Raw genomic sequence first — 25,862 nt, forward strand, 5'->3', positions numbered from 1 at the left:
ACATATCTTCATTTCCAACAATTTTTAAAAATTTCTCTTCACTGGCAGACACACCCAAGGAAGAAGCATCCAGTTCAGGTTCTCTATTAGTCTGTTTTCACACTGCTATAAAGAATACTACCTAAGACTGGGTAATTTATAAAGGAAAGAGGTTTAATTGACTTACAGTTCCGCATTGCTGGGGAAGCCTCAGGAAACTTACAATCACGGCAGAAGGGGAAGCAGGCACTTTCTTCACAAGGCAGCAGGAGAAAGTGAGTAAATGAAGGAGAAACTGCCAAACAGTTTTAAAACCATCAGCCCTCATGAGAACTCCCTCACTATCACGAGAACAGCATGGGGGAACTGCCCCCATGATCCAATCACCTCCCACCCTCAACAAGTGCTAATTACAATTCAAGATGAGATTTGGGTGGGGACACAGAGTCAAACCATACCATATTCCTCTTAGCTCTACCTCCAGTGCACCTAAGTGGCTACATGTGATGGAACTAAGCTCATCTCATCAAGACTTCCTTCCTGCAGATGCTAACCAGGTCCTGCTGCCTTCTTATCATCCCAACAAATGCCTACTGCCTTCAAAATGTTTAAGGCATTGTTCTTGTCCTCATGAATACAAGTACATATGTAAAAATTTTCCTTTGCCTGATTTTTTCACATATTCACTCAACATTAATTGAGCACCTACTATGTGTCAGGCACTGTGGTAAAGGAAGCATGAAAGATGCAAAGACTCTGCCCACCAGGGCTAAGACACTTTAAAGGCTAATTTGATCTCCTTTAGCTGGTCTACTTAGAATCCTACTAATGTATTGTCAGTTTTAATAATTAAAAAATGCAAATAATTATCATTTGTCACTTCTTGAGAAAATATAAGAATCTATTCAATATACATCCTAAATACACTGGCCAAAGTTTGAAGACCCTAGAGAAATTTGTAGAAATGGTAAGTGGAAATATTATTTAAACTGTCAGTCTAGGGACATCGCCTTTTTCCAACTTCAAATAGTAATCATGGGAGAAGTCTGAAGAGAGAGTTGGCAAAGGTGCAGAACTTGTGGAAGTGAAAGTATGGTTGGATCATTAGGATTTGCGACTGTCATCAGAGGAGCAGAAAAGAGAGGGAGGAGCAATGATCAGAGAGAGGAATGGAAACACGAAGGATGTTTGCTCTTCTGTAAACCCTACATTTGAACCATGGAGAGAAAGGAGACATACTCTGTCATGCCCCAGAGGATGGAATTAGAACAAACAAGAACAAACATGGCTGCTTTGTTTTAACAATTACCAAAGGAGTGCCTTCAGAAGCACTGCCTCTGAAAGCAATGAGCCTCCTGTTACTGGAATCGTTAAGCTGAGGCTAGATGAAGCCCAGCAGTGATGTTGCCAAAGGGACTCCTCTGGGTGAGAAGGTAGACAGCATGATCTATGCTTCAGTGATAAAAACACTAGCAGGGATAAAAACACTGAAGAGTTAAACCAACTAATTTTGCACATAGAACAACCTCAGTATGGAGTTTTTCACAGTTAGGAATAAAGAGCTGGCTTTTGATATATCACCACCAGTGAATCTCTCCAAGGGCTCTGCCTAACAGAGCATTTCTATCCAAAGGGAGTGCAGGCCTGGGACTATTTATTACAACATCATCTCTTTTATGAAACAAATATTCTTCAATATTCCTTTAATCACAAGAGACCTTCTTAGCATGAACACTTCAGTTATGAGCATGTTCACCACAGCCAGCCAGAGGCCTGAGCAAGAAATTTAATTTTGCTCACCAGTTGCTCTATTCATTATTCCCCCCTTCATGTCATTTAAGCTCCTTACCAAATTAGAAGACATTCTGTAACAGGGTTAGTTTCTACATGGCTGCATCTGACAGTTACAATGAATAAAAACAAGGTTTTTCAAAGGCCTACTATGTCCCAAGGAGCTCAGCAGGGTCTCAGGGAAAATTAAATAAAGGGTAAAGCCAACGTACATTCCCCGGGTTGTAGAATGAGGCATGATGTGCCATTAGGTAAAAGGTACATAAAAAGGATCAAGCAAAACTTTCAGTGCATTAGCCTGTCCGTTACTCTGTGTAGCTTCTCATTTTACAAATGGCACTCACTCTATCGTCTTATAAAATTCTCAGAACAAACCTATGGGTTGTCAAGGCAGGGTTTTTTGTTTGTTTGTTTGTTTGTTTTTGTTGTTGTTTTGTTTTGTTTTGTTTTGTTTGAGATGGAATTTCGCTCTTATCGCCCGGGCAGAAGTGCAGTGGTGCGATCTCAGCTCACTGCAACTTCCGCCTCCAGGTTCAAGCGATTCTCCCTGCCTCAGCCTCCCGAGTAGCTGGGATTACAGGTGCGCACCATCACGCCTGGCTGATTTTTTGTATTTTTAGTAGATACAGGGTTTCACCATGTTGGGCAGGCTGGTCTCGAACTCCTGACCTCAGGTGATCCACCCACCTCGGCCTCCCAAAGTGCTAGGATTACAGGCATGAGCCACCGCACCCGGCCAAGGCAGGTATTATTATCTCCATTCTGAGTAAGACACTCAGAGGCTAGTGAACCTAAGATCACAGAACTAATAACACTTCAAACCCAGTTTATGGGTTTTCCTATTAATCTTAAGTAATGAGCCAGATTTGCATTTCTTTAAACACCAGAATTTATGCATCTGAATGATCATTAAATCTCCTTCCCAGTGGTCACAGGTTGATACTTTGTTCATTTAATACACACAGTTGTGGTACATATACCACTGCCCCAATGACAACTATGTGTGGTGAATGAGCAAACTTGCATTCGTGGAAGCCAGTCACTTCCAAATCCACAGGATGGTCTTTGAATTTTTTCAGTGGTTGCAAGCTTTTGTCCTCAATAGTGGAGATCTCTATTTGCAGCTGGGCAATTTTTCTGTTCCATTTGCTTTAAGTTGCAGATTTGTTCATTCAAGCAAAATATGATTAAGCACTTTTTATCTTAGGTGATGTCAGCTGGGCTCTCTGTCCTACGCACAGCCACGCATCAGCCTCCAGGTCAGTGGGAAACTGCCTCTCTCACATCACTGGGACCTCAGTCGAGACAGCTCATCTCTGCTCCATGGGGTCTCTCATCATCCAGGAGGCTTGCCTGGGCTTCTTCAAATGGCAGTCTCAGAATCCAAAGAGCAGCAAGAGAGGATAAGCCCTAAAGCATAAACACTGCAAATCTCTAATTGTATTGTTGTTTTCCAAGCAGCCAAAGCAAGTCAAGCCCAAGCCCAGAATCAGTTCAGAGGGCAACCAGCCAAGCAGACAGACCCGGGGACATGTGGACAAACTGGCATCCACAAGTGCAAAAATCAGTTATCCTGGGGATTCAAGGATGAACACACTGACAATGTCCCTGCCCTCATGAAGCTTGTTTCTTCATATCCTCCATCAGCCCGTGGTATTTTTTTGCCAAGCAGATAAGCCAGTATTCCTGTGTGATTCTAATTTATCTGATTAATGGTGAGGACAAACATTTCTTTATAGACTTAATAGCCTTCTATGAATTGCTTTTTTGTGAGTCTTGCATATTTTTCTATTGGATTTCCTGTGTTTTTCTTACTGATTGTATGAGTTGCTTGTGTATTGGGTAACAAGCTCATTTATTCATAGATAAAGGAAGCTTTGTAATGGCCAAAAAACCCTTTAGCCTGTTAAAGCAGAATTGTCACCATTGTATATTATTTTATTCTGAATGGGTCATACATATGTATAAAACATTTATGTAAAATGTAAATAATAGTTGTAAAGACTCAGGTGCCACTGCTCCAGTGGCCTCAGAACTATTTATTATTCATCTCTGACTAGAGATGTCACCTTTAGCATACACTATGGACATCTGTATACTTAGATCTATTTCTGGACTTTCTATTTTATTTTCCATTCTTGAGTGTTTTTATCAAGAATGGATGTTGAATTTTGTCAAATGCCTTTTCAGCTTAGATGGAGATGGTCATATGATTTTTCTCCTCCTATTGAACTACTCTTTGCCTGCCTAGAATAAAATCCCTTTGATCATGTTATCTCATTATTTTAATGTGCTGTGGAACACTTCTAGCTGATATTTAACTTAGGATTTTTCCTCAACATCTGTGAGTGAAGTTGATCCAAAGTTTTGTTTTTGTGAATTATTTGCCAGAATTTGTGATACTTGTGATAGTTGCTTTTCTATGAGCTGGAACAATTTAAATAGCAGTGGAATTACCTGCATTTTAAGAGCGAGGTAGACTTCCCTGGATGTTCTTCCAAGGGAGAGCTCTTTGATAACTTTGTTTTCCATAAAAACTGGTCGTTTAATAGTTTCAACCTTTTCTGGGGTTATAATAAGTAAATTACATTTTCCTATAAATTTGTCTTTTTTATTATTTTCCAATTTGTTTGCAGAGACTTTAGCAAAGTATCCTCTTGACTTTTACTTTGTTTTTGTGATTTGCCCCTTGTTTCTCTTTTTTATATGTGCACTTTCTCACTTTTTTCTTTGTTCCATTAGCTTTCAATTTATCTCAATTGCTGTTTATATCAAAGGACAAGTTTTGATTTTATTAGTTGCTGTTTCTATTTTCTAGCTCACTAATTTAGTCAGGTATCTTTATGAATTTTTACGCACTTTTCATTTATTTTGTTGTCTTTTTCAAACTTCTTGAGTTGAATACTTAATTCGATTTTGTTTCATTCTGTAGTTTATGTAAGTATTTAAGGCTGTATCTCCTTTAAGTACTGCTTAGCTTATAGCTTCTATTACACAAAGTTTTCATTATAATTATTTTTGGATGTTCTACAATTTTGATTTATATTTTTTAGTTGAATCAAGAGTTGTTTAGAAAAGAATATCTTAATTTCTAAGAGGTAAAGACTTTCATTGTTTGGGTTTTTTGTTATTGTTAATTTTCCTATATTGTCATCAAAGAATGTTGTTGTATAATTTTTGTTTGTTGATCGTGAATGAGCATTTGAAAATAAAATATGGGGCTGGTCACAGTGGCTCACGCCTGTAACCCCAGCACTTTGGGAAGCCGAAGTGGGCAGATCACTTGAGCCCAGGAGTTTGAGACCAGCCTGTTTCAACCTTGCAACATAGCAAAACCCTGTCTCTACAAAAAATACAAAAATTAGCCAGACTGGGTGGTGCACACCTGTTACTCCCAAGTAACTTCCAGTTACTTGGGAGGCTGAAGTAGGAGTCACTTGAGCCCAGGGAGGTCGAGGTTGTGGTGAGCAGTGATCACACCATTGCACTCCAGCCTGGGTGACAGAGTGAGATCCTGTCTCAAAAAAGAAAGAAAGAAAAGAAAATTTGTTCTCTATTTTCATGTTATAGCATTTTTCACAAATGTACATATAGATATGAAACACAAGAATGTTAATATTGATATTATAAGTATATATTAATTTGGCCCACTTAATATTTTATTGAAGTCTCTTATGTTCTTACTTGCTGATTTTAATTTTCAAGTGTTTTTTGAATCCTTCATAGTGGTAGTAATAGAAGTAGTAGTGGTGCTGCTGACGATGGAGGCTGACATTTATTAAGTGCCTACTATATGCCAGATAATGTGTTCTTTAGCTGGATTATATCACTATCCCATTAACACAACCTTTGTCCAAGCTGCCATCTTTCACCTAAACTATTACATTAGCCTCCTAATTTATCTCTCAACTTGGCTCTGTCCCACTTAAATCCACACTCTCTGCAGCATAGCCTCTAAGGTGAGCTTTGAAAACGTCAAGCCATGATACTCAGGTAGTATGTATATACTGTATATACTCTACTGATTCAGATTCAGAGGGTAGGGCCCAGGAAACTTCATTCTTAAAAATGCCACAGACATTCATTATGCTGACTAAAGTTTTAGAATCACTAGCCTATAGAATAAAGACATAACTAACATCTTTTAAATGCAGCATAGTGTTCCATTTTTTAATAATATAATATTACTGAGTAATTATAAATATATATTTATAATATAGCATATACAGAGTAAGCAATGAAAGTCCCCCCTTCACATTTCCCCAATTCTCATTACTCTCCCTCAAGATAGCTAATATCACTATTTGGTGAGCACCCATTCAGTCTCCTGTTTATTTATCATATATGTATATCTGTATACACTTATAATATGTGTATATTAAAAGTAAATGAAGGTCTACCTCATTCTGTTTAATGGCTATATGATGTTCCATATATAGATCTATGATAATTTAATGACTCTTCAATTAGTATTTACATTGTTTCCAATTTTTCACATATTGTTGATAAGGCTGGAATAAACATCTTAGTGCACATGTCCAAGTATTTCCTTACAATAGATTCATAGAAATTACATTACTCAGTTAAAGCACATGTGCACGTATCAGTTAGGAACTTTGGGCTTCAAGTGATAGAAAACTCAATGCAGATCAGTGTAAGCAAAGAGGAAAATATTAGACTCGTTTGATCCAAACTTTGGGGAGGAACTTGCTTTAGAAAAGATTTGACCCAGTGGACCCCCATTTCTTCCCATCTTTCTCTTCTACATTCCCTAATATTCACTTCCTCCTAAGGATAGTTCACTTCCTTGATCCCAGTTAGCTGCCAACATCTTCCAAGGCAACAAGATTCCCCATCTACATCCATCAAGAAAGGAGGAATGCTTTGACCCTGAATTCTAAGGAAAAGTCCTGAGATTCTCTCTGATTTGATTAGCTTAGGTCATATGGCCACTCCTGCACCATCAATCACTGTGGCCAGAGGGATGAAATATCCTGACATGCTTAAGTCATATGCCACTCATCTGAAGCTGTAGATGGGGCCAGCTTACCTAGAAGTGCTTTGATTCCCAAACAGAAATCACAGGCAGTTGGTGTAGTTAGTTGTCCACAAGAGCGCGTTATTTATTTGAATAGATCAACACCAAATTGCCTTCCAAAAATGCCACATTAATTTACACTACCACCAACCATGTATGAAAGTGGCTGTTTCTCAATATCCCCACCAAATTTTCTATTCTTTATATTTTATTCATATTTACCTAATTTAGTGTTGAAGAGCATCTTTTTGTGACCATCTTTATATTGGCCTCTGGTATTTCTCCTGTAAATTGCCTATTTATGACCTCTATCCATATTTCTGATTTTTAGTGACTTATACAAGCTCTGTATACATCCTACACAATAATCAGTCATCCATTAAATAGGCTACAAAGAGTTTTCTCAGCACATTACTCATCTTTTAACTTTATCATGCTTTTTATTGTGCAAAGATGATTTTTAATTTTTATGGGGTTTTATTTGTCGATCATTTCTTTTATGGCTTCTGGTACTTATGTCTTGTTTAAGAAGGCCTTTTTCACCTCCAATCTTATAAAAATGTGCTCCAATATAATCACCAAATACTTTTAAATTTCTTTTATGTTCAGCTGCTTAACTCACCTGAAGTTTATTTTTGTGGGTGATATAAAGTAATAGTCTACTTTCCCTTTTTTATCTACCCGTAACTAATTTTCCTAACACTATTAATTGCATAGGTTATACTTACCTCCATGGATTTGAAATATCACCTTTATTATAACCTAAATTTCTACTGATGATGCATGGATCTCTCTTGGTCTCTCTATTGCATTGATTTCCACTCCAGTTTACCACACTATTTTGATCACATCTCTAGCATACATTTTAATGTATATAGGACACGCCCAACCCCTAACACTTTAGCACAGCCTATAAGAATCTCTAAAATTTGAGCCTCGTTTCTTTCTCCAGCCTCCTCCCACATCATCTAGTTCTTTGCCTTTGAGAGTTTAGTAAAACCAAGTGTAGATTATTCCAAACAGACACAATTCTGGAACACAGCTTTGTTCCTTTTGTCTCCTCTTCCTAGAATGTCCTGCCCTTTTTCTTTATCTAAGTGACTTTCCTCATCCTTTAAAACTCAGCTCAGTCAAAATTACTTGCTGGAAACCTTTTCTGAACCCCCAGGTAGGCTTCTCTGCCCTGCGCTCCAATTATGCCATCTACTTCTACCAGACAGAGATGACCTCTTCATACATGTGTCTCTCCTGCCACCTTTCCTGTGACAGAGACAATGTTCTGTTCTTCTTTATACTTCCAGCACCTACTACAGTCCCTTGCATACAGGAAATGCTTGAAATATATTTGTTAAATCGAACTGTATTCTTCTCTTCATTTTTTTACCAGTTATATTCTATAAAGATGCATCATCAATTGCATAGATCATTCTCCTTTCCGATTCATCTCTAGCAGATAATAATTTCGGAACAAGTGTCAAGGTTCCTGTCCATCCCTCTCCCATCCCCCATCCCAAAAAGAGGAAGCTCTTTTATGATCGGTTAAGTTCTTTGACACTGATTTGTTGAGTGACCTTGAACAAGTCAATCACTCTATACCTCAGTTTCCTCATATGCAGAAGATTAATAATAGTACTTACCTCACAGAAGTAAAAGACTAATCAAATAAGATTTAAAAGAAAAAAAGTTAAGTCAATCAAGGATTAAAAGAATTAATACAGAAAGCACCGAGAACAGGGCTTAACTCATGGCAAGCTCTTAACAAACGCTGGCTGCTACTCCTCTTCTTCTCAGTAAACCTCTCTCCTCTCTCTCCCCTCTCTCTCCTCTCTCTCTTCTCTCTCCTCTCCTATGCGGTCTAGGCTTATGTTGGTTTCAGGCCTCCGACGCCAGCTCCTTGAAGGCAGAAGGCATTCCCCATGGGATCCAGCCTTGCCTTATCAAGCTGCTGTACCACAAGTTCTACCTGAGGTTTAGAGCCAAAACCACCAGAGGTTAAAAAATGTTCTACCTTATTTAATTCCTCTTTCCTTATATCCTTGTACAACAATTCAGAAACAAGAAGCAAATACAGGGAGGACCCAGGTATTTATGAGTCAAGTGACCCTCTATCAACAAATTCTCTCAGCTGCCATCTTCAACAATCATGCTGAAATCATTGAAAAGGAGAGAAAAAAAAACCTGCATTTAAAAACAACCTGATTTTATTCATTATTACTGGTAATAAGAAATATGACATAAGTCTCTGTAGCTATTCATTGTATTGTATTTTTATCCAATTTAAACTTCCCAATCATGCTTAATCAAGTCCCCTCACTCTACCAGACACTTTGCTTAAATCTGAATATATTCTTTTCTGAATTGCAAATTAATAAAAATTTAGATTAGTTATTCCTAATACTCTATTCCAAAGAAAAATCTGCAATGAGAATAGTACTACCTTAAGATATGTAGTAAGCATCAGCTTAGGTATAGCTTAGAAGCACAAGTGAAAGTGCCCATCAAGGTGTCTGGTACCAAACAGTTCCAAATGGGCCTCATACAGACCCATGTACTGAGAAGGCATTGAGGACACAATGACAGACATGGCTTCTGCAATTTTGGCAGATGACATTACAGATGATGTGACAGGACATTTAAGCAAGTCATTACAATACATTATAATATATACATATGGAATACAGCAACTAGGATAGAACCTGGAATACTCAATACTATTGAATGAGTAGAATGCATTACAGAAAGTATATTAAATACAAGAAATGAAGGAAAGTACTGGGCAAAAAGCAAGTGACTCTGGAAGTAATAAGGAAGGATTAGAAAGAGATATCTGAGTAGTATTTTGAATGAGAAGCAAGAGGATAAGAGGATACAGGAAAAAAAGAGCAAGATGGGGCATGTATATTTCAGTAAAGCAAGCACATCCAAAAAGACAGGGAAGCTTTAAACAGTGTGGTGTGTACAGAGAATGACAAGTTTTTCAATAATGGTGAAGAATAGAGTGCAAGAGGTATGTGACGGAAGTTAAGCTACTGAGACAAGAAAAAGGAGGAAAAGGAGAAGGAGGAAAACAGCCAAGTGCTTTTTGGGTATTTTTCATACATTATCTCATAGAAATTTTGCAAACATCCTATCATATAATAAGTACTATTCCTAATATTCCATTTTACAGATGAAAAACCTGAGGCACAGAAAGGTAAATTAAGTTGTTCAAGGAAAGAGAATTAGTAAATGGCATGCTTGTTTGGCCTCTGAAATGTCCATGTTTAGCAATGTATTTTTAAAGTTTGTTTTTATCTGTCAAGCATTTTTAACATTTTAGGTTTTATTATAATGATGATTTTTCAGATAAGGATTTATGGATGCTATTTAAAGGGTAAATTGCAAAGGTGAGATTGGTTATTTTCTTTCTTATGAAGTATTAATTTTTCCTTCTCAGCTAGGCCTTTCCCATCCATGAGAAACACATCATAATATCTTCCAACTTAAAATAAATTCCATTCACTGCCATAGTGAATACTGTTGGTTTCTCTCCTATATCCTTTTTGTAGCAGGTTCGTGAACATCCCAAGATGTTCCTGTCTTCAGAGAATTGCCCTTGGCCGAATGGAAGCAGCCTGGGCCAATCATTTACACACTCCCAAATGGGGACAGCTCACAACCCATAACTGACTGGCATGGCAGTGCCGAGGTCCAGCCCTTTGCTTCAAGGTAGGAACAACTTTATGGTACAATTCAAACTCCTGTGGGATCGAGCTAAGGCAGACTCCAGCTGAGAACACATCCCTGATTAGCAACATCCCCTCCCCTCTCCTGCTTCCTCTACTCCCTCATCCCAAGGCATTCCTCTATAAATCGCATTCACCCAAATCTCTATCTCAAGCTGCGATTTTAAGAAATTCTACCTAACATTCCTTCTAACTACTACACTATTTCTCTGCTGCAGGAAAACTCCTCATAATAGTCCTCTAAACTTGCTGTCTCAGATTCCTCTACTTTTGTTCTCTCTTGAACCTACTCCAATAAAATGTTCATGCCTACCACTCCACCAAAATAGCTCTTGGTCACAAATGACCTCCACATGCCTAACCCTAAAATACTCATCTTCTTCAGTCTATTAGCTGGGTTGACATAACTGATTATTCCCTCCTTAGGACACTGTCTTCCTTTGCTCCCAGGACACCACACTCTCTTAGTTCCTCCCCACTCCTCATTTATCTCTTTCACCACTTCCTCCTCAGCTCTCTGATCTCTAAATTTTGGAGTTTCCTCAGGGCTTGATCCTTGAACCTCTTCTGCTTCTTCATCTGTACTCACTCCAGGGCCATAACTGACACTCCCAGATTTCTATCTCCAACCCTGGCTTCTCCCCAATCCCAGAATTATATATCCAACTGCCTAGTCAACATATGCATTTGGACTTCTATAGACACCTCAAATTTACCAAGTCTAGCTGGGCGTGGTGGCTCATGCCTGTAATCCCAGAACTTTGGGAGGCCAAGGTGGGAGAATCACGAGGTCAGGAGTTCAAGGCCATTCTGGCAAACATGGCGAAACCCCATCTCTACTAAAAATACAAATAATTAGCTGGGTATAGGGGCAGGTGCCTGTAATCCCAGCTACTTGGGAGGCTGAGGGAGGAGAATTGCTTGAACCCAGGAGGCAGAGGTTGCAGTGAGCTGAGATTGAGCCATTGTACTCCAGCCCAGGTGACAGAGTGAGACTCCGTGTCAAAAAATAAATAAATAAATAAAAGTCTAAAGCCAAATTTACAATTCATGGCCCACACCCTGGCCCAAATATGCTTCCCTTCTACAACCCCACCTTCCCATCTCGGTAAATGTCAGTTCTACCTTTCCAGTTGCTCAAACCACAAACCTTGGAATCATTTTGGTTTTTTCTCTTTCTCTTATACTCTGCACATAGAATCTGCCAAGAAACCCAATTGGCTCTATTTTTCAAAGTAGATCCCAGATTAATCTTTCTACAATGTCTACCGCTATCACCCTAGTTCAGGCCACCATCATTATTCACCTTAATTATTGGAATAGTATCCTAACTTCCCCCTACATTTGTGCCTTACAATCTATTGTCCACAGAGAATCCAGAGTGATTTAAGTTGGATCACCCTATTTCTATGCTTAAATCCCTGCAATAGCGTAGTGTAGTTGCTAAGAGCATAGACCTGACAGCTTTGGGTCAAATCCCAGCTCCCTCACTCCTGTACAGATGCTTCAGTTTTCTCAACTGTAAAATGGGGATAATAAATAGCTAACTCCTAGGTTTGTTATGAGGTTTAAATGAGTTTATATAATGCATATAGCAGGGTGTGGAATTATGTGATTATTTGATAAATGAAATAGTGTGCTGTCTTGCTTAGAATAAACAGGTAAGCCCTCTCTTCTCTTATGCCTCCTTCACTTCACTCCAGCCATCTTGGCTAGCTTGCTTTGGAAATTAGAGCTGAATAATGAGCACACCAAGCCTGCCCCCACCTCTGCTATTGCCCCAAGTACATGCACAATTTATTCTCTCACTTCTATTCCGGTCTCTGATCGAAACCTCCCTCATCAGTAGTTTTCACTGAGCATAAGCAGTATAACAACCTTTGTCCCCAGACACTCCTTCTCCACCTTGCGTTGCTTTATTTTCTTCATATTGCTCATCATTTTCTAACATATTATGAATTTACTTGTCTTTTTTGTTGTTTCACTCATCCACTATAGTGTAAGCTCTTTTTAATGAGAGAGATTTTTTTGTCTGTTCTGCTCACAGCAATATCTCAAGTGCCTAAAATAATACCTGGTACATATTTGGCATTCAATAAAGATTTACTGAATTAATGAATCAGTGAATGAACAGAGGGCAGCAAGGAAGCCTTTTAAATGTTTCACCGAGCTATGATGAGATATGAATTAGGAAAGCAGCAGTAGGAATTGGAGGGATGAAGTGGCCTAGCCAAACAGACATGGTAAGTAGGATCAACTAAATGGGGTATGAGAGAGAAGAAATTTAAGGAAATTATTTTGAGATACTAGTGAAGGTAAAAGGCTTAGGAGATGGTGGTGCCCAAAAGCAGAAAAGAAAATGCAAAAGGAAGAACCAGGTTGAGGATGAATACAACAAACCAAAGTTATAAGAAGTAGGCAGACATCTATGTGGCCTATCTAGCAGGCAGCTGGATATTTGGCTTTATTAACAAAAGAAATCAGAACTATAACTGTGGTTTTAAAAATCACCAAGATACACTGTTATTCAAAGCCATGGGACTGAATGAGGCAGCCCAAGGGAAGAGTATGATCAAGAAAAAAAGGGAAGAAGACAAAGCTTGGGGAGCATCCACACATTATAAGTGTACAGATAAAGGAAAAACTGGTGAAAGAGACTGGTAGGAAGGAAAGAAAATAAGAATGTCTTTTAGAAGTACTGAAATGTATGTCAAGCAACAGTAACTGCTGAAATGATATAAATTATATCGACTAAAAACTTTTTCAATGTTGTCAAAAATCACTAAAATAGAAGTGGGAGAATATAGGAATTTCGTAACTCCTGAAAAACTGGAGCAAATGGAGCATTTGTGCCTGCCAGTGTGGAAATAGCGAGATCTTCTGAGCTTTTTCCTTATCTTCCAGATGAATTCAGCCTCTAATGCATTCTTAAGACTCACAAGACTTCTGTACATTTGGCACAGCCAGTTATATTTTCATTATCTCATTATCCTTTGCCTTGGCTTTCAAGACTCACTTATCTAACAATGTTCTAACTGGTTTTACAAGGTCTCATTTCATTAACTCTTCTTTGTTACAAAAATGTAATTATTTTGTGGTCATTACTTCCCCTCAGTCTATGGCACAAACCCTTTGTTTTCTGTGTACAGTTGCTCCTCGGCTTGGGATGGTAAATTATGTCCAAACAAACCCATCATATATTAGAAATATCATAAGTGGAAACGCATTTAATACACCTAACCTACTGAACATCATAGCTTACTTAGCCTCACCTACCTTAAATGTGCTGAGAACACATCAGCCTGCAGTTGGGCAAAATGATCTCGCAACAGGACACTGCATAGTATCGGTTGTTTACTGTCCTGATCAGTGGCTAACTGGAGCTGCTGCAGCCCAGCATTAGGAAAGGGTATTGTATTGCGTATCTCTAGCTCAGGAAAATATCAAAATTCAAAACTGGAAGTACAGTTTCTACTGAATGCATATTGTTTTCACTCATTCTGAAAAGTTGAAAAATCATGAGTCCAACCATCATAAGTCAGGGACCATCTATATTATTAGCAACATCTTCAGAATTGAACACCTCTTTCTGCCTTCTCCACCTTTTGGCATAAGAAATTATCCTCTCCCCCTAAGAAGGTCTCTAACAATAAGTAATTCATGATGTCTAAGTACCCACATATTTTGTACCAAACAGGCTACCTTCAGCAGTAATGGAAATGGTAATTATTTACTCTGGGAGCCCTGTCAAGGTTTCTGTAAAAATCATTGCTATGCTGCTAAATTGGACTAGGAGTTGCCTCCTTTTCTACTATTGATCTTATGAGTGAATTATCCCCAAAAAACTTTCCAGTGTGCTATTGGCTAATTCATTGACAGTGCAATATATATTAGGTTGAATGTGAATAGCACACATCTTATTCGTAATATGTTTTGGATGCACAAATTTGAAATTTATGTCAATGTTCCTAAGCAACGTAATACAGATGAAAAAATACAATTCCCAATGTAACATTCAGTGTTCGTAAATATGCCATCTTGGAAATTACAGCAAGCAATGTAGAAAGTAAGAAAATCAATTGACTCTGGACACCAATACTATTTCTCAGGGCAAAAGTCTATCTCATGTGGCAATAAATGCACCTCTGTCCTTATAAGGAATGTTGTACTATGATGAAATAGTGACTACACTATTTATATCATTTATGTTTTAATCCCCTGGTTGCTAGGTGGGGATAAGTCTTCATAGATGCTAATCCACATGTTGTCACACTGGGGTGGGGGTTGTTAAGGTAGTGACGGTATAATCATGGGAGTAGTAAAGTGTCTGGAGGCCTGAACAGAATGGGGACGTATTCCTGCTAATGTTGTAATCTCAATTCATAGAAGATGAGGTCAAGTTAACTTTTGAATTTGACTTTTTAAAATTACGTATACACATATTATATAGATACATACATACGTGATTCTTTGGCTGTGAAATTGTGGCCTTAGTCATTCATTCCAAATATATTTATTGGGCACTTCCATATGCTAGCGACCATGACAAACTCTGGGAAAGTGTCAGTGAATAAGACTGCGGTAGTCTCTGAGGTCACAGCTTACAGTCTAGGTCAGCCAAGTAAGTGGACAGACAGAACAGGTAGCTACTGTTTTGTCTACATGATAAATGTGAATGGGAGAATTAAAGCAGGACATTTGTAAATCTGTTTATTTATTCATTTATTTATTTAGTGTGTATTTATTTAAGCACTGATGGTGCAAAAGAAGTAAAATATACAGTCCTTGTCCCACGATTTCCAGTGTAGTAGAGGAGAGAAATATTCATTCAATGGACTGAGAAAAAACTCCAAAGGGCAGCATAGGTACAGTGTCTGGAGACACAGTTGAGAGATGTGGAATAACAATGACCTAATTTCTTACTACTCTCTCTTTCTTAATCTGTTCAGGCTGCTATAACAAAATACCTTAGACTGGGTAATTGATCAAAAATAGAAATTTATGTCTCACAGTTCTGATGGCTGGGAAGTCCAAGATCAAGGCACCAGCAGATTTCATCTCTGGTGAGGGCCTATTCCTCATAGATGATGACTTCTGTGTAGGACACAATAAAAGGCAAAAAAGGCTACAAGCTCCCTCTGGCCTTTTTTATAAGGGCCCTAATCCCACTCATGAGTGCAGAGCCTTCCTGCCCTAATCACCTCTCAAATGCCCCACCACCCCCCAAATGCCCCACCTCTTAATATTATTCCTTTGAAGATCGAATTTCCACATATGAATTTCAAGAGGATGTGCACATTCAGACTACAGCACTCTCCCTCACTCCAGATGCCCCACCTCACTCTTCCTGTCTCAGGGCATCTGCATCACCTATTTCCTCTACATGAATTCTTTTCCCCAACTTCCCCGCTTATGGCAAGGCTGTGCTCAAATGCCTTCCCAGTGAGGCCTACCTTGACCACACTGTACAACACTGCACCACACTGGCCTCTGGCATTTCTGATTCATCATACCCTGCTCGTCTTCCCCCTTTTCCCACAGCACTTATCACCTTTCAATGCACTCGATAATTTACTTACATATTATGTTTTCTGTTTATTGTTTGTGTCCCCTGTTAAGATTTAAGCTACATAAAGGCAGAATTCACCCACACCAATGTTCTCCAGTACATAAAATGTATTTTTCTCTCTGTCTGCTTTTCAGATTTTTTTCTGTGTTTTTCATTTTTCTGCAATTTGACTATTATGTGTCTAGGTGAGGGGATTTTTTTTAATCCTCTTTGGGGTTTGTTGACCTTTCTTGACAGGTGGGCTGAGTTTTTTACCAAATTTGGAAAATTGGGTGGTCCATACTTTAAAAATGTTTTTGTAACCAATTCTCTCTTTCCTCTCTTTTTAATATTCCAATTACATATATGATAGATTGTTTGATAATTTCCTCAAGGTTATTAAAGTTCTGGGATTTTTTTTCAATTTTTTTCTCTGTGTGCTTTAGTTGGAATAATTTCTATTAACCTGTCTCCAGATTCATCCTGTCTTCTGTTGTGTTCAACCTGCTGTTAATCCCATGCAGTGATTTTTTTCAGTGATTATATTTGTTAGTCCTAGGATTTTAATTTGGTTCTTTTTTAGAGTTTCCAGATCACTCCTAAAACTTCCTACCACTTTTTCCATTGTAGATTTAATGAAAATGCTAAACCTCTAGCAAGACTCATGAAAGAGAGAGAAAAAAACTGCAAATTACCAATATCGGGAATAAAAGCAGAGATTTTGCTACATCATCCTACAGACACTAAAAAGATATTATAAGTAATAGTATGTTAGTAAATTGGACAAATTAAATGAAATGTACAAATTCTTTGAGAAACACAACTTCCTAAAAGAAATACAAAATATGAATAGCCTAATATTTAAAATAAATTGAAGTTGTCATTTAAAATCTTCTCACAAAGAAAACTCAAGGTCCATATGGCTCACTGGTGAACTCTGACAAACATTTCATAATACCGAGTTAAACTAACTCTTTCAGAAAATCAAAAAGGAATAAACATTCCTAATTTATTTTATGAGTTCAGCATAATTCTGGTGTCAAAAGTAACAAAGGCATTACAAGAAAACTTATACACCTCGATTATAAATACAAAATTCCTCAACAATATTGTTGCAAACCAAATCCAGCAATATATTTAAAATTGAATATGGCATGACCAATGAAGTTAATTCTAATAATGCAAGGTTAAATTCATCAATGAATTCAATTTACTACCTTACTATAATTTAAATATTATGTGATCATCTCACTAGATATAAAAAAACTGACAAAAATCAATACCCATTCATATTTAAGAGTGACAAATGAATGTTTTCCCTTTAAAACAGAAAACATCAAAGATGTCTGCTCTCACCACTTCTATCCTAGATTAAGAGATCCTAGATTGTGAAATAAAACAAGAAAATGAAACAAAAAGCATTAAGATTGCAAAGAAAGAAAGCTATGTGTATTGCCAGACAGCTTAATTGCATGTATTGAAAGTCCTAAGGAATCTATGTACCTCTAACAAGTGAATTTAGCAAGGTTGCAAGACACAATATCAATATATGAAAAATCAGTTGCATTTTTTTCTTTAAGAGCACCAAATAATTTAAAAATTAAAATTTAGGAAATATAGTAGCATCAAAAAAACATAAAAATACTTAAGACATAAGTTTAATTTTAGAATGGTACAATAATTGTACATTGAAAACTATAAAACGCTAAAGATTTTCTTAAATCTAAGCAAGTATAGAGATATATTCTGGGGGCTAGAAGACACATTGTAAAGATGTCATTTCTAAGCAAATTAATCTATATCTTCAATGCAATCCCAATCAAAATTCCAGCAGGCATTTTTATAGAAATTAATAATCTTATTCTAAAATTTATATGGAAATGCACAAGATAGGATAGTCAAAATGATCTTGAAAAGAAGAACTTACGCTACCTGATTTCAAGACTTATTATAAAGCTATAATAATAAAGAGAACATGATACTTGCATGGTGATAGACAAATAGATCAATGGAACAAAAGAGAGACTCCAGAAATCGGCCCACACATCTGTACTTAGTTGACTTTTAACAAAGGTCCCGAGGTAACTTATTTTAAAAAGAATAGTCTTTTTAACCAGTGTTGCCGAAACAACTGGATGGATAGATAGATAGATAGATAGATAGATAGATAGATAGATAGATAGATACAAAAATGAACATCAATTCTTACCTTCTTCCATACACATAAATTCAAAATTGATCATAAATATAAACATAATACTATAAATCTTCTAGAAGAAAACACAGGAGAAAATCGTTACAACCTTGGGATAAAGATTTCTAAGACAGCAAAAAAACAGAAAAAATGGTAAATTTGACTTTATCAAAATTAAAACCTTTTGTTTTTTGAAAGACACTACTAAAAAACTGAAAAGGTAAGCCACAGGCTTGCAATACAAATATCTGACCAAGAGTGAATCCTGAATATGTAAAAGAACTCCTATAAATTAATAATAAAAGGACAAAAAACCTAACAAAAAATATGGGCAAAGGAGTTGAACAGACATTTCACAAAAGAACATATATAAGCAAATGAAAAGGTACTCAATATAGTCATTTAGGGAAATGCAAATAAAACCACAATGAAACATCATTTCACACTTACTCAAATGCTTAAAACTATAAAAACTGACAGTAAGTGTTGACAAGGATGTGCAGATACTAAAACCCTCATACTCTGCTGGTTGGAGTATAAAATGGTACAACCATTGGAAAACGTGAACAGTTTCTTATAAAGTTAAATTTATGCTTACTGTGTGATCCAGAAATTCCATTCCTATATAATCCACATCCAAGAGAAATGAAAGCATATGTTCACAAAAGGATGAATTTTCATACAGCTTTATTTGCAGTAATCCCAAACTGGAAATGATCCAAATATCCATCAACAGATGAACAAAGAAAGTGTAGTAGATTCATAACAATGGAATACTATCCAGTAATAAAAAAGAACAAACTTACTATAGAGCTATAATAATCAAAATGGTGTGGTACTGGCATGAAAACAGATATATTGATCCATAAAACAAAATAGAGAGCCTAGAGATAAATTCATACATTTACAGTGAACTCATTTTTGACCAAGGTGTCAAGAACATACACTGGGGAAAAGGCAGTTTATTCAATAAATGGTGCTGGGAAAACTATATATCCATATTCAAAAGAATAAAACTAGACGTTTATCTCTCACCATATATAAAAATCAAATTAAAATGGATTAAAGAATTAAATCTAAGATCTCAACCTATGAAACTACTACAAGAAAATATTGGGGAAACTCTCCAGGACATTGGAATGGGCAAAGATTCCTTGAGTAATACCTCATATGCACAGGCAGCCAAAGCAAAAATGGACAAATGGGATCACATCAAGTTAAAAAGCTTCTGTACAGCAAAGGAAACAATCAACAAAGTGAAGAGACGACTCACAGAATGGGGAAAATATCTGCAAACTACCCATCTGACAACGGATTCATAACCAGAATACATAATGAGCTCAAACAACTCATAGGAAAAAAATCTAATAATCTGATGAATAAATGAACAAAAGACCTGAATAGATGTTTCTCAAAAGAAGACATACAAATGACAAACGGGGATATGGAAAGGTGCTCAACATCATTGATCATCAGAGAAATGCAAATAAAAGCCATAATAATATATCATTTCATCCCAGCTTAAATAGATTTTATCTAAAAGTCATGCTATAATAAATGTTGGTGAGGATGTGGAGAAAAGGGAACCCTTGTACACTGTTGGTGGGAACATAAATTAGTACAACCACTATGGAGAACAGTTTGGAGGTTCCTCAAAAACCTAAAAATACAGTTACTATATGATCCAGCAATCCCACTCCTAGGCATATACCCCAAAGAAAGGAAATCTGTATCAGAGAGATATCTGCACCTCCATGTTTATTGCAACACTATTCACAATAGCCAAGCAACCTAAGTGTTCATCAACAGATGAGTGGATAAAGAAAATGTGGATAAATAAAATGAGTGGATAAAGAAATCTACATGTACACAATGGAGTTCTATTCGGCCATTAAAAGGAATAAGATCGTGTCATTCACAACAACATGGATGGAACTGGAGGGCATTATGTTAAGTGAAATAAGCCAGGCACAGAAAGACAAGCTTTGCATGTTCTCACTTATTTGTAGGAGCTAAAAGTTAAAATAATTGAACTCATGAAGATAGAGAGCAGAAGGATAGTTACCAGAGACTAGGAAGGAAAGTGGGTAATGGGGGGATGGTTAATGGGTACAAAAAAATTAGAAAGAATTAATAAGACCTAGTATTTGCTAACACAACAGATTGACTATAGTCAAAAATAATTTAATTGTACATTTTTAAATAATTAAAAGAGCATAATTGTGTTCTTTGTAACACAAAGGATAAATGCTTGAGGTGACAGATACCCTATTTACCCTGATGTGATTATTATGCACTACATGCCTGTACCTAAGTATCTTATATAATCCGTAAACATATACACCTACTATGTACCCACAAAAATTAAGAAATAAAATTTTTTTAAAGAACAAACTACTGACCCACACAACAACATGGATGAACCATGTTGAACCATGACTCAGCAATCCACTCCTAGGTATAGACCAACAATATACACCTTGGTGTTTAAATGTGCACCAAAATACCATATAGGAATGTTCAGAGCAACATTCTCAATAGCCAAAACCCAGAAATGACCCAAATGAGCTCCAACAACAGAATGAATAAACAGTGGTATATTCATTTAATAAAAATGTATTAAATCTAGAAAAAAAACCCATTTACAATAGCTACCAAAAAAATAAAATACTTAGGAATAAATTTAATCAAGGAGGTAAAAGACTTGCACAGTGAAAACTATAAAACATTTATGAAAAAATTGAAGACACCTATCAATGGAAAGATAGCTGTGTTCATGAATTGAAAGAATATTGTTACAATGTTCATCCTACCCAAAGTGATCTACAGATTTAATACAATCTTTATCAAAATTGCAATGTCATTTTTCATAAAAATATAAAAATCCTAAAATTCACATGGAACTACAAAATACTACAAATAGCCAAGGCAATCATGGGCAAAAAGAAGAAATCTGGAGGCATCATACTACCTGATGTCAAATTATACTTTGAAGCTATAGTAATGAAAACAGCATGATACTGGCATAAAAACAGGTACATCAACCAATGTATGGGAATAGAGAGCCCAGAAATGAACCCATGCACATATGGCCAATTGATTTTCAACAAAAATGCCACACACAATGGGAAAGGGATAGTCTCTTCAATAAATGGCATTGGAAAAACTGGATATATCCACATGCAAAAGAATGAAATTGGACCTTTATCTCACACCGTATACAAAAATAAATTCAAAATGGATTAAAGGTTTAAACATAAGACCTCAAACTAAAACTACTAGATGAAAACACAGGGGTAACCTACACTTTGACATTAGTCTGGACAACAATTTTTTGGGATTTGACCACAATAGCACAGGCAACAAAACTAAAAATAGACAAATAGGATTACATTGAACCAAAAGGCTTCTGCAAAGCAAAGTAAACAATTAACTCTGACAAGACAACCTACAGATTGGGAGAAGATATTTGCAAGCCATACATCTGTTAAGGGGTTAACATCCAAAATATATAAGGAAGACTCAATAGCAAAAACACAAATCATCCAGTTTAAAAACTGAACAAGAGATCTGAATAGACATTTCTCAAAGGAAGACATACAAATGTCTAGCAGATATATTTAAGAAAGCTCAACACCACTAATCATCTGAAAAATGCAAATCAAAACCACAATGCGATATCCCCTCACAACTATCAGAATGGCTACTATAAAGAAAAAAAGACAAAAGGTAACAAGTTGGTGAGGATGTGGAAAAAAGGGAACCCCTGTACACTGTCGGTAGGAGTGTAAATTAGTATAACCATTATGGAAAACAGGATGGAGGTTCCTCAAAAAACTAAAAACAGAGCTATCATATGATCCAGCAACCCTACCTCTGGGTATTTACCCAAAAGAAAGGAAATCAGCTTGTCAAAGAGATATGCACTCCCATGTTCATTGCAGCAATATGCACAATAGTCAAGCTATGGAATCAGCCTAAGTGTCCATCAACAGATGAAGTGATAAGGAAAAATGTGATATAGATACACAATGGAACATTATTCAGACTTTAAAAAGAAGGAAATTTTGAACCTGGCATGGTGGCTTGTGCCTATAATCCCAGCGACTAGGGAGGCTAAAGCTGGAGGATTACTTGAGGCCAGGAGTTACACTAGCCTGGATGACAGAGCAAACACTGGTCTCTTAATAATAAAAAAGGAGGAGGAGGAGGAAGCAATTCTGGCATTTGCAATAACATGGATGGAATTAAAGAACATTATATTCTAGGTGAAATAAGCTAAGCACAGAAAGACAAATACCACGTGTTCTCACTTACAGAGGCTGGAGGTGGGGAGAATGGGAAAATGATGGTCAAAGGATACAAAGTCTCAGACAGGAAAACTAAGTGTTGGTTTTTTTGAGATTTATTGCACAGCATGGTGAATATAGTTAATAATAAAGTATTGTGCATTTCAAAATCACTGAGGGCAAATTTCAAATGTTCTCACCACAAAAATAAATAAGTATTTGAGGTGACAAATGTTAAAATTACCTTAATGTGATTATTCCATTTTGTATTCATACATCGTAACCACTCTGTATTCCATAAATACATACTGTTATAAATTGCCAATTTACAACACCTTTTAAAAAAATTTTAATGAAGTATAAACTGTTAGATGTAAAAATATGAATGAACCTCACAACACAGGGTTGATAGAAGCCTCTGGATGAATCTATTCATATAAAGTTCATGAACAAGCAAAACTAATATGTGGCAATTGAAGTTCAACTAGTGATTCTAACTAGGAAAAGGTATAAGGGAGGATTCTGGGGTGCTGTGGATGTCTTCTACATTGATCTGGGTAGTGATTCCATTATGGTGGGTTTTTTTAAGTCATAAGCTATACACTTAAGATTTTTGCACTTTATAGTATGCACGACGTATCTCAACAACAAAAGTAAAATGCAAAAAAAAATCATATTTTTACATTACTGTTTTAGTCCTACATAAACCATTCCAGGGAATATTAGAAGAGCACAGGGGCCCCCATTCTGTAGAGACTTCGGGTGCAGTTAAAGAGCTAAAGCTACCATACACGCGTTAGATAAAAATTAATACAAAGTGTGTTTTAGGATTGCCTTAGTAAATTACCACAAACTCGGTAGCTTAAAATAACAGAGATTTCTTCCACAGTTGTGTAGGCTAGAAGTTCAAAATAAAGGTCTTAACAGGTCTGCACTCCTCTCAAAGGCTCTAGGAGAAGATCCTTCCTTGCCTCCTCCAGGGTGGCTCCTGGCATTCCTGGGCTTGTAGCAGCATCACTCCAATTCCTGCCTCTGTCTTCACATGGCCTTCTTCCCTGTATGTCTCTGTGTCTTCTCCTCTTATTTCCTCTTCTCATCAGGACACCAGTCGTTGGATTTAGGGCTCACCCTGGTGCCAAATGACCTCATCTAAACTAGTTACATCTGCCAAGACCCTATTTACAATAAAATCACATTCTAAAGTTCTGGGTAGACATGAATCTTGAGGGGGATGCTACTCAACCTCCTACACAAAGCAATTTTAAATCTAAATTAAGTAGGGCCTGGCACAGTGGCTCATGCCTATAATCCCAACATTTCGGGAGGCCAAGGCGGGCAGATCACCTGAGGTCAGGAGTTCGAGACCAGCCTGGCCAATATGGTGAAACTCAATCTCTACTAAAAATACAGAAATTACCCGGGCGTAGTGGCGCATGCCTGTAATCCCAGCTACTCGGGAGGCTGAGGCAAGAGAATCACTTGAAACTGGGAGGCAGAGGTGGCAGTGAGCCGAGATTGCACCACTGCATTCCAGCCTGGCAGCCTGGGCAACAGAGCAAGACTCCATAATAAATAAATAAATAAATAAATAAATAAATAAATAAATAAATAAATTTAAATTAAGTGCTAAATTGTTTCACCATAGAAATTCAGAGAAAGATGTGATCATTGCAATCTAAAAAAGTTAGAAACAATGTCATGAGAAGTTAGCCCTTGAATCCTGCTATGGAAACAGCAGATTCAGGTGAGCTGCAGCACAGTGCAGTCTGGCAGTGGAAGGAAAGCAGTACAGAGGCGGGTCTGAGTGACAGGGAGTCCTGGCTGAGGAGGGGAAGAAAATAAGATTGAATAAATAGAGTGAGCCAAGTTATGAGAGTCCTTGAAAGCCTGGCAGATGAATTTAGACTTGGTCCAATAGGAAATAGGAAACAGGAAATGACTGTAAATTCTTGAGCAGGGAAGTGACATGGTGACAGCAGTGTTTCAGGAAGATTATGTTGGTGACAGTTGGCTGGATGTATTGGAGGCAAAAGGGACTGAAGGCTGATGTATTTTGTCTTCCCTTTGCTGGATGTATATAGGGTAGCAAGAGATACGTAGTTTGATTTTAAAAAAGAAAATGCACCACTGCAATGATGCTCCTAAATCTTAATAAACTTCCTGATCTCATTCTCAAATGGAAAAGTAGACCAAGTGGCATTGTGTTTGAAAAGCTAATTGCTCCTCAGTTTGAAATTCTTGTTTGGAGAAGAGGCAAGAGCTTCCCATTGTTTCAGCATCAGAGTCACCTGAGAGCCTGTTAGAAACACAGACCCTCAGGCCCCATCCTAGACCTATGTAATCAGAATCTACATTTTTACCAAGATCCCCAGAAGATTCATGTGCCTTACACTTCATATTATAGTGAGAGGTGCATCGCCATGGTAAATTTCTGTTGAACCTCTGTAGTTTGTGAAAAAATGTGGATATATAACTGTTGAAACTGTTAACTTGAAAAAACAATTATGAACCTTGTGCCTCCTGTGACGAGGCTGTCACATCGAGACATTCACCAGTCCCAGAGCTGTGGTGCCTGCTCACCCACTTACCCGTCTCATGGGGAACAACTGTTAACAGATGAAATGGAGACATCTGGTTGTCTCGTGAAATGTGTCACTTAGAACATGCAGCTGAAATTGAGACATCTGTCTCCCCACCATTCTATGGACTCTTGCTCTAAAGTGACACTTTTTTGTCATTTGAAATACACCTTCATACTGCAGTGGCTTCATTTCCTTGCTATGCAAGTATGAGAGAGGAGGACATCAGATTGGTGCAGATAATGAAAAGTAGAAAATTCACCTGTCCAGAGCCGTGGCAGGACCACCTGCCTTGGGAACATGGTTCCAACCCTGCTGAGCAACTTTCTCCTCTGGCATTCCACTCCCCAATTGCAAGTGTCAGTGGTTACCCCAGCACATCAACAGAGTGAAAAATATTTGGTAACTATGCCCTCTGTGTCATAGGTTGCTAGAAAAGACTGAGTTTGTAAGGCCATACATTGGAGCAAAGCTTTGCAAACTTTAACATGCATCCATATTACCTGAGGAATCTTGTGAAAACACAGATTCTGAATCAGTATGTCCAAAGTGAGGGCTGAGATCCTGCATTCCCAACAGGCTTGCAGGTGATGCTGATGCTGGTGCCTGAGGACCACACTCTAAGTAACAAGGCCAGTTGCTTGGCAAGGTTACATCAAGCAAGCAGAGAAGGTGATAGCAGAGTGAAATCATGGTAGAAATATCTCTGCAGATGAGAA

The sequence above is a fragment of the Homo sapiens genome, chromosome 12, assembly GCF_000001405.40.
Source record: "Homo sapiens chromosome 12, GRCh38.p14 Primary Assembly".
NCBI classification, from domain to species: domain Eukaryota; kingdom Metazoa; phylum Chordata; class Mammalia; order Primates; family Hominidae; genus Homo; species Homo sapiens.